The sequence below is a fragment of the Homo sapiens genome, chromosome X, assembly GCF_000001405.40.
Source record: "Homo sapiens chromosome X, GRCh38.p14 Primary Assembly".
Classification (NCBI taxonomy): Eukaryota; Metazoa; Chordata; class Mammalia; order Primates; family Hominidae; genus Homo; species Homo sapiens.
Genome location: NC_000023.11, coordinates 10117106 through 10131773, shown reverse-complemented (window position 1 = coordinate 10131773; position 14668 = coordinate 10117106). Strand labels below are relative to the sequence as shown.

Here is a 14668-nt window from a genome sequence, read left to right as displayed (position 1 = left end):
AGCCTGGGCGACAGATTTTCAGATTCTAAGGATTTTAGGAGTTGCATGCCAGGTAACATGCAACTCAAAGAGTTGAAGACCAAATAAATATTCACACTGGCTTATTCACTCAGCATGAGTCCTCAAAGCTCATCCATGTTGCAGCGTGACAGAATTTCCTTCCATTTTAAGGTTGAATAATATTCTATTGCATGGATAGGCCACGTTTTCTTTATCCACTCATCCATGATGGACACTTTAGTTGCTTCCACCTTTTGGCTACTGTGAATAATGCTGCTGCTATGAACATGGGTGTGCACATATTTCTTCAAGATCCTTTCAACCCTTCTGGATATACACCCAGATATACCCAGAAGCGGGACTGCGGGATCCTGTGGTGGTTCTATTTTTAATGCTTTGAAGAACCACCATAATGTTTTCCGTAGCAGTTGCACCCTTTTATCATCCTGATGTTTGTAAAATGTAAATATAAATTTACATTTCTAAATGTGAACCCTTTCTAAAACTGCAAACCTCTCTACAAGTGTTTGCCCGCTTCCCTGCCATTGCATTCTCCAGAAGCCGCCTTGCTCTCTGTGACATGAACGTATGATAGCAACGTCTCCTTTGGCGCCTCCCTCTCGAGGGTGGGAGTTTGTGTTCTTTTTTTTTTTTTTTTCCTACTCACCCGCTATACTAACTTTGTTGTATCTGTGATGCCCACACAGAAAGGGAGAATGCAAATGTGCTGAAGAACTAACAACTGTGGGATCCAGGTGAGGTGTACAGGTATTTGTTGCATTATTCTAGCAACTTTACTGCAGATTTCACTTTTTCAAAACTAAAAGTTGAGGGAAGGGGAAACACCAAAAAACCCTCCCACGGCCACTCGCCCTGGCTTGGGCTGCTGCTTTTTGAGATCTCAGAAAGTTGGACAAGGGCCATGACCAGCAGCCTGGTCCAAAACAACAACTAGGAACCTGCTGTGGGTCACAGCTTGGGAAGCTGCTGGGGGCAGATTTCACTTTGTGCTTCTGGGTGAGGGCAGGGGCGTGAGGGTGATAAAATACTTTTGTGAGCTGAACAGTGGGGAAACAAAGTTTCAAAACAGCATTGACAGTGCCTTCCCTGACCTCACAGGCACTATAAACATGAGACTTCTCCCCTAAAGACAGGGTGACAGTACAGCTAGGAGCAGATGAGCAGAAGGGGCAAAAGGACAGCACTATTCTACATTTCACAAAAGGGGAAGAGGAACTACAAATGTCCAAAACCTATGGGACTCACAAACCCTCCAGAGCCTCTTTGTCCCTGAAGGTGGGAATGGATCAGCGGTGCCTATTCAAGCCCTTTACACATCTCAGGCCATTCACTTCTTTTCCTCGGCTCACAGTAAACCCAGCCTTAGCTGTGGCCCCCAAATCCAACAGCAGTGCCCATTTTACACCACAACACCCGGGCCACTGCGTGTGTGTGTGCAGGTCAGCCACGTGGCTCTCCTCCCTGGGAGCCTCGGCTCTGCTTGCCTTTGGTGCATCTTCCCCCATCCCCTCACACTTCTCACGAAGAATTTGGGGGCACACAGCCTCTCCTTCCAGGGCAGTATACCTGGTACGTATGGCAAAATATTTGGGGTGAGGGGCTCCGGACAATCTCCTATGTTTTCTACTTACCTTAAGAGGCGAGGGCTGAAATTTCTCGGGGCTGTAAGGCCCTGCCTGAGCAGCAAATGGGTGGCCCAGGATGGAGTCGATACCCATGCAACAGGGCTCTGGGTACGGAGGGCTGGTCTGGGTGCAGTTGCTACAGCCGCTATCCACCGAGTCCGCTTGCCAACTCCTGAAGGCGGACATTGCAGAAGCCCAAATGGTCACCAAACGGGATGTATTTCATGCTACTCTTAGAGCACAGTAGTAGAGGTAATGCAATACAACCTATTTCTTTCCAATGATTGAAGACTGTTGCATCTCTCATAAAGTAAAAGGGCGCTTCTGTTTTCCAGGGAAGATGGCTCTTGAAGGACTGTACTTAAGAGGGGCTTTCTCTGTCACCAATGGCAGCCACTGAAGATCCCAGAAAACTGCACCACTCAGCCCCAAACCCCTCCCAACTCCTGTCCATCCCTGAACACAACACCTTCCCCTCTGCATGCACTATCGCTCCCCAAAATAAATTCCTCTGTAAACTAAACTCAGGGAAAGCCACTGGGAAGCAGCAGGAAGCCCTGGAAAGATGGCGCACTTTATGGAAAAATGCGGAAGTACAGCAATATGTACAGCACCTCCAGAGACGATGAACGCAAACCAGGGCACCAGGGGCACCCATTCACCGGAATCATTCATCTATCGCATGCAGGTCTCCACGGGGCCAAGGATTCACCAATAGGCTGCTTCACGTGAAGCAGAAAGGGACGCCGCATGACCCCATTTGTAGGAAGTGTCCAGACCGGCAAGTCCATAGACACAGAGGGCAGATTTGTAGTTGCAGGGAATCAGAGGAGAACCTGGGAGCGCATTTGGCTAGGGACAGGCAGAGAGTGTGTGATGAAAATAAAATGCTGTAAAATTGACTGTGCCCATTCAGTCCTAAAAACCACCTAACTGTGCACTTTAAACGGGTGAACTGCATGGGAGGTACATTATATCTCAATACAGGTGTTAAAAAAGAAAAAAATCCAACAACTTCAAGGGACCTTACTGTATCCAATCCTGGGAGAGGGCAGTGCTTCAACAGTCCCACTCTCGACAAGAAACTCCAGGACAGACAGAAGGAAAAGGTGAAAAGCACACGTGAGAGTCAGGAGAGAGACTTCGGGGAGCTGCCCTCGTCCACACCAGCACTCAATTTCCACCAGAATCGACTTCTGGGCAGTGGTGCCTAAGGATTGCCCAGCACCTTCTATGGAGGCATGGCTGAGGAAAGCAAGTGCACCTCAGAGACAGCCATGCTGCCTGGCACACTGGCTGTCTCCCCAGAGAAAATGTGCTCCCCCCTGACAGTTTTCACGAGCCTTCTGACCACAGGGCACCCATGCTCCTTTCCAGGGAGGGCATGAGCCGGAGCCTGCCCGCTGAGCTAGCCCTTACCGCTCGGATATGGCCTCGGCCTGCTCCTCCTTGCGCTCCATCTCCAGGACCTCCTCCTCCGTGTACTCCAGCTTGGCCCGCTCCTCGGCCAGTTCCCTCTCCACCGCCTGCAGCTGTGCCGTGGTTCTGGCCAGGAGCACCGTCACCGCATCCTGCAGGAAGAGGGGGTGCGTGAGGACAGCTCAGGCCAGCAGACCCTGCGCACACGGCAGGTGTCCACATGGCACAGGTAGGAGGCCACTCTGCTGCCCTTCCGTGAGAAGAAACTCACCCTACCTAGGTCTGTGGTGGAGGCATTCATGTGGCCTTCTCCTGCAGCTCTGAGGGCTCATATTTAAAACTAGCCAGTGTACCACCCATGACCATGAACACATTTGCATTAAAAAAACATTCGCATGCAATGGCCATATGGAAACTCTACTCCTTTACCCCACTATACTGACTTACGTCTACAAAGACACTTCTAAGAAATGACTTCCCCAAGACAAAGCCAGTCTCAGGGTCACGAAGGCAGCAGTGATCAGCTCCTTAGAGCAGGGCCAAGTACCGTCTTGCCGGAGATGGAGATGGTGTGTGCAGGGTCCCGGGCGGAGCTCTCTCCTGCACACCCAGCCTCCCGCGTCCTTGATGGTTCAGAGCTGGTGAACACCTGCACGGAATGCCAGCGCAGCTGCATCTCACTCAAACTGTCATAGTCAGCCAGGTTAATCTGAGCAATGCCCTGCAGGGGTATTAAAGAAATGCCAGAACAGGCACTGAATGATTTCGCCGTGATGACTAGAGTCCTTTAAAATATCCAGTTCAGGCAGGGCAGGTGGCTCATGCCTGTAATCCCAGGATTTTGGGAGGCCGAGGTGGGAGGATTGCTTGAGCCCAGGAGTTCGAGACCAGCCTGGGCAACAGAGCAAGACTCTGCCTCTACAAAAAAGTTAAAAATCAGCCGGGCATGATGATGTACAACTGTGGTCCCAGCTACTCAGAAGGCTGTGGTGAGCCAAAATCATACCACTGCATTCCAGCCTGGGCAACAGAGTGAGACCCTGTCTCAAAAAAATCCAGTTCACCCTTCAATCTTTGTGTGTGTGCGTGTGTGTGTGCGTGTGTGCGTGTGTGTGTGATGGAGTGTTGCTCCGTTGCCCAGGCTGGAGTGCAGTGGTGCGATCTCAGCTCACTGCAACCTCCACCTCCCTCCCTAGTTCGAGAGATTCCCTCGCCTCAGCCTCCCGAGTAGCTGGGATTACAAGTGTGCGCCACCACACCCGGCTAATTTTTGTATTTTTAGTAGAGATGGGGTTTCGCTATGTTGGCCAGGCTGGTCTCAAACTCCTGAGCTCAGGTGATCCACCCGCCTTGGCCTCCCAAAGTGCTGGGATTACAGGCATGAGCCACTGTGCCCAGGCTACCCTTCAATCTTAACCAAACAAGACATAAAAGATTTCATTCCTACTTAAAGGACTGCAGCACAATGAAAGCAACTGCAGAGGAGTCTAATGGGTGGCTCCCTGGTCGCCTGTTCCGCCCAATCAGAAAGTGCTGGGAAGGGATCAGAAAGGGCAAAAGAATGGGCAACCTGGAGTGCTGGGCCAGGCTCACAGCTCTACTGCAGTGATGAGGCAGATTCGCTCAGGAATTTCTGAAATAAGAAACGACTGCTGAACTCTACATGCCCTAATTGTGCCGCTGAGGGGACAGAACCAAGACAGAACACTCTGGCCATGGAAGGAATCCACCCTGGCTTCCAACCCTGGCATGGGCCTTGGATGGCTGGGATACTGAGGACAAACTGCGGATTCTCCTGAGGCCTCGCCCCGGGGTTGCCAGGTAACGTGCAGGGCGCCCAGGTGAATCTGCACTTCAAATAAACAACACAGGGTTTCCCTGTGAGTCTTAAACACCGCATGGGAAATACTTACACTTTAAAGAGCATCCATAATTTATTTGAAATTCGAATTTAGCTGACTGTCTTGTATTTCTATTTGCTAAATCTGTCAACCCTACTTTGTTCCCTGGACTGAAGATGGGGCTGACGCAAAGGCATCCCACAGGGTCGTGAGTACTAGTTGAGAGGACACATTTAGAGGACAAGGTGCTTGACAACATCACTGGTTGGATCATCCCTGTTTGTATTTCCAGCCACAGAAACACTGAAGAAGATCACAACTTCCAAGCAACCCACCACGGGAGAAAGGGAGGATGGCAGAGGGGAAAGGAGGGAGGGAACTAGAGATGGAGGCAGAAGAGAGAGAGGGAGGCCAAAAGGCAAAGACATACGAAACCTAAGAAAGCATCACAAAAGAGTACAAGAGAAAGAAGGGAAAGAAAGATACACACAAAAAAAAGACCGGCTGACTGAAACACGAAGGAAGGAAGGAGGACGGGGCGGGCGGAGCCTGGCGCCATACCAGCAGTTCTTCCTGCAGCTGCGGAGTCACTGAACACACGTATAACTGAAGTGACTTCAGTGTCAACGCGCTGGAATGCACGGGGATTCTGAACACTTCGTTAAACACCAGCGGCACTTGGAACTCCAGAGCCTTGGAGCAGTAAGTGTTGGGCGTGCCCGAGTCCAGTGGGGGCAAATAGACTCGGATGTGGCTGCAAACAGAACGGGGGAGGGAAGAGCGCGTGCAGGCGGCGCTCACAGATGGCGCAGTCCCAGAGCAGGCGCGACCTACACAATGCGCACAGACCCCCCACGTGCAGCCCCCTTTGGGCAGCTGTGGCTACAGTCTCAGAGTCCTTTGCAAAAAGTTCCTTTCTCAACTAAGCATAGAACGATGTACCCCAGGGATGGGGGAAGTCACTCACAAGGAGGATGACTTCCAAGCCAGGACTGAAGCAGCGGATGCTTCCAGGCCCTGCTGCTCCCCACCTTTTTGGGAATCGCCCCTCTGGTTTTTCTGCATGGCTCCCCCACTGCTTTCTCTGCCCATCACCCATGGGGTAGCCCGTATTTCCCACCCTCCCTGCCCCAAGTCTGGCACATGGGAGGGGCTGAGCCATCTGTGAGCACTGCAGAGGTCATTGGGGTGGCCGAACCCCAGCCGAGCCCCCAGCTGCTCACACTCAGGGATCCTGAGGCCTTTAGAAGACTCACCAAAGGGGCCCCACCCTGCGACTTGAACAGACCATTACAGGCATGGTCACCTGCTTGGGTAAGTGGGACCCTCCATCAGGCCCCCATCTGGGGCCACGGAGCTCAGAGAGGCAGCGCTCCCACGATCGAGGCCAAAGTCACCAGCTGCTCCCAATGCCTATTTCCTCCTCCCCGCTCAGTCAAGGATGCCCTGGTCCCAGCCAGAGGTCTCTCAAGATCACAGAGCAGAGCACGACGACATCAGCAACCCCATCCCCGGGCCAGGAGGATGCAGTCCTGTACGGCACAGGCAAGTGCTTCCTCCACGCCAACACGGCACACACTAGCTTGCCACCAGCACCGGCACCTTCACCAGCCTCAAATCATTCACTAGACTCTTTTGAAGACTTTACACTTCAGACACACACTCCCTGGTGCTTTCCTGGAAATTCAGGCTCCCAAACTGTCTTTTCCCTCCTCAGCCATGTGGCTGGCTGGCCACTGCCCTGGGGCCTGGCTTACACTTTGCAGTCTTCCTTCACCGCCAGCCCCGCCGGGTTCTTCAGCTGCAGCACGTGCACGAGGAGACACTCGCTGCCACTGTCGCGCCTAGGAAACCAGACACGAGTCATGGACGGCAGGTGCCCCCCAAGTAAAACCATCCTTCTGACTCAACTGCAGCAGTGGCCATCCACTGCCTGGGATTCTGCCCCACCCTATCTGCAGGAGACATCTGCACCTAGTGGGTAAAGCCCAGGTACAGCACAGTCCCCGTAACAAAGAATGACCAAATGCCAACCATGCCAGGTGGAGGAGCCCTGGACTGAAGTGACGAGAGTGAGCAAAGGAAATGGCTGGGACCCAAACACCCTGTTTTCCTCAGGGGCACCTCACAGTCACTGCCCTTATTGACACTGTAATTAGAAACCAAAAATTGTTGTCCTGCCAACCAGCGGATTACTTCCTTGACGGTGAGGGAGGGAGTCCGCTACCTGTGCTGCAGTGAGCAGAACCAACTCCTGGCAGACACGGGCGCAACTGTCCCCGAGAGCCACACTTTGCCTGCCGGAGCCCCCAGCTCCAGGAAGTGGCGGCTCTCAGCTGTGAATCTCCATGTTGGAAGACAACAGTGGAGCCACTTTTCCCTGTCACTCCTTCCTGCCACCTCTGTCCCCTCACCTCAGACCTCGGGTAACAAGGGTCCCTCCAGCCCTGTGTGTGCAGGTGGGAGCCACGGGTTGGGCCCAGTCTCCAGCCCAGCCCCAGGGGAAACAGGGTAGGGTCTGTACTCACAGGAGTCCCACGTGGATCTGGGGATCTCCGTTACTGGCCGTGTCTCCGTAGGCAGGCTCCTCGGCATCTTCGTTCCTGAACAGAGGGGTAAATGCAACCAACTTCATTCCTGAGGGAACCGGTCGCTACAGATTCTGCAGGAGCTCCCTCGTGCTGAGAGAGGGCTTTGTTAAGTTGTGACGTTAAGTCAATGAGGTCATCATGTGTCTGAAGGAACAGGGCGGGCCCCCAGAATCCATGAGGCATCTTACTGGGTACCTGCCTACAAACTGCTGGGTATTTTTGTTGTTTTATTTTGTTTTGTTTCTGAGATAGAGTCTGGCTCTGTTGCCCAGGCTGGAGTGCACTGGTGCAACCTCGGCTCACTGCAACCTCCACCTCCTGGGCTCAAGCGATTCTCCTGCCTCAGCTTCCCCAGTAGCTGGGATTACAGGCACCCACCACAACGCCCAGCTAATGTTTGTACTTTTAGTAGAGACAGGGTTTCACCATGTTGGCCAGGCTGGTCTCAAACTCCTGACCTCAGGTGATCAGCCCACCTCAGCCTCCCAAAGTGCTGGGATTACAGGCGTGAGCCGCCGCGCCCAGCCTATTTCTTATGTTGTTCCTGTTTTAGGAAAATAGACTTTGTGGCTGGGCACGATGGCTCATGCCTGTAATCCCAGCACTTTGGGAGGCTGAGGTGGGTGGATCACTTGAAGCCAGGAGTTTGAGACCAGTCTGGCCAACATGGTGAAACCCCATCTCTATTAAAAATACAAACAAAATTAGCCAAGTATGGTGGAGTAGATCTATAATCCCAACACTTTGGGAGGCAGAGGCGGGCCGATCGCTTAAGCCCAGGAGTTCAAGACCAGCCTGGGCAACATGATGAAACCCCATCTCTACTAAAAATACAAAAATTAGCCAGGCACGGTGGTGTGTGCTATAATCCCAGATATCTGTGGGGCTGAGGTGGGAGAACTGCTTAAGCCCAGGAGTTTGAGGCTGCAGTGAGCTATGATTGCACCACTGCACTCCAGCCTGGGCGACAGCGAGAGCCTGTCTCAAACAAACAAACAAAAAATAAATAAATAAAAGAAGAAAGTAACCTTGCACGCCTTTCAAAACCACATGTAATACTTGAGGAAATGTTCAAAAATTAACTTTAAGTGAACTGTCTTCTAGATACCGGAGACTTAAATTGTACAAAGAAATAATGACATCAAAGATGCCCGATCAAAATAAAGCATGGAATTCCAAAAGGCGCTGTGTCATTGTGAAACCATTCCTATAGCTACGAAAACAAGGAAGGGAGGGAGGGAAGAAATTCATTTCTAATGAATGAATGTCCTTTCCAGAAAAGCAGGGCTCTCCCATACATTGATTCTCCTTTTTGAGCTCCATCAGACTCAAGCCTTAGGCCCCCAGGGCCAGGGAGAAAGACTTCTTTCTAAAACCCAATCACCCAAAGGTGAAAGAAGCTAGAAAAATATCCTACCCCTGGAAAAATAAACAAAGTGTCAATGTATGAAAGTTTCAGTACGGAATCTTTTTGTGATTGCCAGTAACACAGGTGATTCTGCGTAGGGAGAAGGAAATAGTAAGACTAGCTTCAGACCTTTTGGTTAGAGGTTCAAACACCCCACTGTCGCTGGCTAGCGAATAATCCGACAGACATGCGGAGATGCGGCGTGCCCTCCTCTCCAACCTCTTGGCACTGTCTTCTCGAAGAGTCACTGCTGTAAGTAAGGGACACACACAGGGTCAGGAAATAACAGCACCGGGGACCGGGGTCCTTGACGCTGGAGCACACACTTCGTCAATGAGTGTTCCAGAGACTCGCTGGGACACACACACACGGAGACATGCTGTGCTCTAGTTGTTTTTCATATGGGAAAATTGAAGAAATGAACTTCTGCTACCTCTTGGATTCATAAATCTATTTCCACCCCCTTAATGAACACACAGAACATAAGATGACGATGAGAAGCCCCTCAAATGGCACTTTCTGAAAGCCGCGCACACAAACGAGACAGGAAAGCAGCATTAGCCCGATGGGAACAGCAGCGGCGCTCGCCAAGAGGTCATGGTTTTCACTGCCTTCTTTATGCTGTCGGGTATTTCCCATGTTTTATACAACAAATACTGCTTTTATACTCAGGAAAAAAACATTTTAATTATCCAAATAAACCCTAGAAAAATTAGCAACCTTCAAAGCAGAGGACACAGTTGAACCCACACTCATTCTCTGAAAACACCACCTGGGAGGCCTGCGGCCCCGGGGGAGGAAGCTGGGGCTCAAGCGTGGCTGTCTCAGTGACCGCAGGCAGGAGCCTTCCAGCCGCCCTTCTGGGTTAGCACGCTGCTATTCCTGCTATGCTTATTTTTATCTTTCACATCTATTTTATTCAAGAGCCAAAAATAGCCATTGAAATGTTTCCTTTTAACATTTCATCAGCCGTTTCTACCCATTTCCTCATAGCAATAAGTTCCTTTTAACAAAACCAATACAAACATGTATATCATCTTCCCGCGCTAAATGCAACTGTGAGCCCAGGAGTCTGTTTTGTGGAGGGGCACACTCGGCTGGAACACGGAATCAAATTGGAAGCCCCAGCTGGGCACTCCACCGTCACTCAAAGCCAGCTCCCGCTTCCATCTCCGCACTTTTCTTTGGCTAAGTTCTAGAAACGGAAAGGGTTGACCTTTGTGCCTTCCTAAACTGAGTCCACTGGTGACCATCTCTCCTTTCAACCAAATTATCATCCACGCCAATGAAATACAAACATGTTCAACAGCACGCAGAACACATGGGGCTGTGGCCTTTGGTCTCACAAGGTTAAGTGGAGGCCGAGTGAATCTTCCAAAGGTCTGCCATACCACATCTGGAGAATTCGCTGCTTCTCCCCCATCAGCCAGGGCTGGAAGCTGGCCTCCATCCTACGGTGGCCGGAGGCACTGCCTCTCAGACAGATCATGACTCCAGATGCCAGCTCTCCTCTTTATCCCTGCCACATGGAAGGACCCAAACACCTGGCCCTCAACTGCAAATGGAAGCCCCCCCAACCACTGCATCAACCCCCAGCAAAGGAAACCACCACTACCATTTGCATTCCCAGCCTTGACACGCGTGGTCCCCAGACTCAGCTGTAGATGCCTGCAGGGAAACAGCACCAGGTAATGAGCCTAAGCACCTGCAACCAACCCAGCCCAAGGCGCAAGTCTGGCCACGTTTCTCTCTCATCATTGCCATAGAAGTCAATACAGAGAGGAAAGAAATGAAGGAGCTAATCCTCGAAGCCCAGGCTGAGTCACTGGACCCACAGGGTGGGTGGAAGTAGGAACTGCCAGGAGGAAGTCCTGTCGGCAACTGCCCCGGCTGAGAAAAAGCACAGACTCCACGCTCCACACCCCGGACACCTGCCCTGGGGCTTCAAGGCACAGAGGTGGACCCTCAGGAGCAGTGCCAGGGAGACAAGGGTCAAATCTTCCCCATGTTCATGTGAAAATCTCTTTACTCCCTTTTCATCATTCAAGACAGACAGACACTAAGAGCCAAGGATGTGAACAGTGCTTGGTAAAAAGGAAGAAAATACAGTCAAAACCACAGCATAGCAGAGCTGCCAGGTGGCATATGACAGCAACGAACGCCATTACATTCCAGAAACAAACACATACAGGGAATGAACAGTGAAAGCTTCTAGGAAAGTTCTTAAACAGCTTGAATATTAACAATGAGATAACAATAAGGCCAATTGCCAACTTGTGTTGAAGCACAGCTATAAGATAACCGTCGTTGGCCACACCCCAGCCATCCTGAACACATCCATCCACAGCACAAACGTATGCCTGGGGCCTGAGCAACAACGCTGAGCAAGGGGACTCCCAAGGCCACTTACAGTGAGCACTTCTGTCGAGCCGCATGAGGAGATAAAAAAAAAAAAAAGCACAAAGTGAAAACACTGCAGAATTTAAGCCAACAACATTAAACAGAATATCAATATCATAAAAACATCAATATGAGCAAAGTCAAGATTTTTACAGGTTTTGATTAGCAAATACTAATGGGTAGATGAAAATAGCTAAGTATTTCATAATCATAACACATTTGACTTTTAAAATCCAGGGAAGACAAAACTGTAACAAAAACGTAAATAGTATGAAAAATCACAGTGTATTGCCCCACTCCTCTGACCTGCCTTCTGTTTCCTCCGATTGATTGAAAACACAAGGAAAAAATCATTCAGAGGCTGGTTTGCAAGTTTGGACAACTTTGATTTTTATCTTACAAAAATTTTGTCTTACTAAGACTTGCTGGGGGCCAAACTTAGACTGCAGTGTTCCCAGCACAGCTGATACATGATGGGGCAGGGGAGGCGAGGAGCCCCCCCTGTGTCCATGCCTGAAGCTGGCTACCCAACCCGGCCCTCTGGGGACACCCAGCAGGGTCAACTATTTCAAGTTTCTAAGGATACAAATAAACGTGTCCTTAGAACAACATAATACATATGTGTCCTTGAAACAATGTAATATATGTAACATATAAAACCATCACCAGATGGCAGTATCATAAAAAGCTACCGCTAGGCGGCAGTGTCACGCAAGAATCCACCACCGATGTCATATAAGAATCTACCACCAGATGGCAGTGTCACTCAGGAATTTATTGGCGGTGTCATATAAGAATCCGCCACCAGATGGCAGTGCCATACAAGAATTCATCACCAATGTCATATACGAATCCGCCACAAGATGGCAGTGTAATACAAGAAATAATCACGAATGACATATGGCTCCACCACGAGATGGCAGTGTCTACACACGTAAGCAAATACTTCCCAGTCCAAGAAGTTTCAACCATTATAGCATCTGCCACGGAAAGCAAAGGAAAAAATAAAGAAACCAGGATGTGAAATTAAGTCAGCGCTTCTCCCTCCCACTCTGTCTCTCCTCTGACCCAAAGTGGCCCTTGGGCCTTGTGCAGATTTTATGCCTAACTAGACTGACATTCTGGAATCTCAATCCCTTAAGGAGAAGGTGGTGGGAGAGAGGAGGGAGACTAAGAAAGAAGTCCTAATTGGATATTTCTTTTCTGACTGAACGGAATAAACATGGAGCAATCAACCTGTGGTTATAAAGAGGAACAAAGCTAATGAAGGATACCTGCATATATGGACTTCAGAAACAATGTATCTGGGGATACCAAAGTGTGTTTGCAAACACAGGGGCAGACACCAAAATAGAGATGCCAAAAAGCCCTGGGGCAGTCTCAGAACATGATGGCCTCTGGTTACGCACGTAAGTGCCAACAGACTACTATTTTATAGAGTGATCAACCTATCTATTGATCTACCAATCCATCTATCTCTTGGGTAACAGAATGGTGGCAAATGGAAGGGGTCACAAAGATCACTGCATTCAAGGGTGGAAAAGGTGAGACTCAGTCCAGGTATGTGTTCAAGGTCACACAGCTAGAAGTGGACAGGGCAGGGAACAAAAGCCTGGTCTCCCAGCTGCTAGTTTGAAGCTGTTTCCACTACACCACACTGGTTCTGCTCTCTAGTTTTATTTCTACCCCTTGCCGCATAAATACTCCATAGTACGTGACTAGGGTTTCTCAGCCTCAGCCCTCTTGACATTTGGGGCTGGACCATTCTCGAGGGGGAGGGGGTGCTGCCCTGTGCATGCCAGGAGCATCTCCCATCCCCTAGTTGTGACAACCAAAAATGTTTCCAGACATTGCCAAGTGTTCCCCAGGGGCAGGACGCAAAAACACCCCTGGCTGAGATCCACTATGCTGCACAAATTATCTAGTGTTTGCCTAAATGGAACATTTAAAACATTTTTGCCGTGCAAATAAAAGTCAATTAAATGGGCTGAACTTCAGGAACGGGAGACCTTGTTCTTGATCCTCTTTAAAACCAAAGGAAGATAAAGTTGCCATGGGTGGCTGAGAAAAGCACATGGGGTCAATATTCCCTTCAATAGCAGTTTGGTCTTCCAAGCAGGCTACAAGCTGAAAGACCCCAGCTCCGAGGAGGAGCTGAACCAACACCAACTGAATGGATGAGGCTCCACGGAGCTCCGTGTTTTTCCATTTGAAGAATCACCAGAGAAACCAAATCAGTAGAAATGACCGATACTTACAGGCATGTCTTTTGAAATTACACAATTATTTTCACTTCCACATTTGATAGACCTATGTTCTTGGAAACTATGAAAACTATAAAAGATAAAGAGATGTCAAAGCAACAAAAGAAGTCAAGATTTCCACTAGCTACAACCAGACACCTGTTGGCATAATGGTCTCAGGCGGGCACACACTGACGGTTCCATCTCGGCACGCACGCTGCAAAGGTCATGAAGGCCCTAATCCATCTCCAGCAGCCTCTGAATGTGGAAGCCTGTGTAGTTCTTACCCTAGTTTTCAACAATTAAGTATTTTTTGAAAACAAGCCAAATACCTAGGAAAGACAACTTTGTCAATTTCAATGATCTTTCCCCAACACAGATCAGAAAGAGCAGGTGTGTGCTCTTCCCGATCACATCAATATTCCTAAACGTAAAGCTCACCATGGACCTGGAAAGCCAGCCATCCTCACTCTGGACCCCACAGTTTCCGCCCTGCAGGTAACCCTCGCCCCGCAGGAGGCCACATCCGCACTTACTTCCACCCACGGGAGCGCTGGCTGGTGGGGGTCCTCGCTCGTGCGGCCCTTCCCCATCCCCGGGGACCCCGTGTGGCTGAAGGGCCGCCATGCCTGGTAAGTCTTCGTCCCCCATAGCCGAGGCGTGTGCCCGCAGTCTGTCTAGGGCGCCCAGGCCTGGCCCCTCACAGCTGTCCGCCAGCTGCGCCAGCGGCGAGTCCCGTGAGGCAGGGAGGAAGGGCGTGTCCAGGGGCGAGCTTGGGGGCGACAGCGAGGACAGCGAGGAGCGGGAGGACAGCGATGCCAGGGACTGGGGCGTGTCCAGGGACCGCCTCTGCTTGTGGAAGCCCGAGGGGCCTGGGGGCTCTGAAAAGGGAGCATCTCGCCCCAGAGAGTCGAAGGGAATGAGGTCGAAGCGTAGAAGCTGGCTGCCCTCAGCGTCGGGCTTCTCGTACTGCGGGAGGCCGTAGATGTCCGTGAAGCTGACCGAGCTCAGGGAGCCCCGGCTGGAGGCCAGAGACCCACGGCTGGAGGCTAGGGACCCGCGGCTGCTCCCCGAGGACACCGTCAGGGTGCTGGCACACAGGCTGAAATGAGACAGCATG

General features: G+C 50.7%; 1 protein-coding gene across 1 annotated transcript in view, besides 1 other annotated feature; it reads right to left on the bottom strand.

The window, feature by feature from the left end:
* Positions 1-14668, bottom strand: part of WWC3 (WWC family member 3) — a 129221-nt gene that overhangs the window by 12701 nt on the left and 101852 nt on the right. The window contains 8 exon segments of the mRNA NM_015691.5: positions 1653-1818; positions 3066-3217; positions 3613-3786; positions 5468-5660; positions 6664-6750; positions 7435-7509; positions 9035-9155; positions 14085-14650. Coding sequence (NP_056506.3) covers positions 1653-1818; positions 3066-3217; positions 3613-3786; positions 5468-5660; positions 6664-6750; positions 7435-7509; positions 9035-9155; positions 14085-14650 — 1534 coding nt within the window.
* Positions 12051-12345: an enhancer, noted in NCBI's record as "tiled region #7563; HepG2 Activating non-DNase unmatched - State 12:CtcfO". NCBI's record gives its function as "activates a minimal TATA promoter and a strong SV40 promoter by Sharpr-MPRA in HepG2 cells {active_cell/tissue: HepG2}" and the evidence as "EXISTENCE:reporter gene assay evidence [ECO:0000049][PMID:27701403]".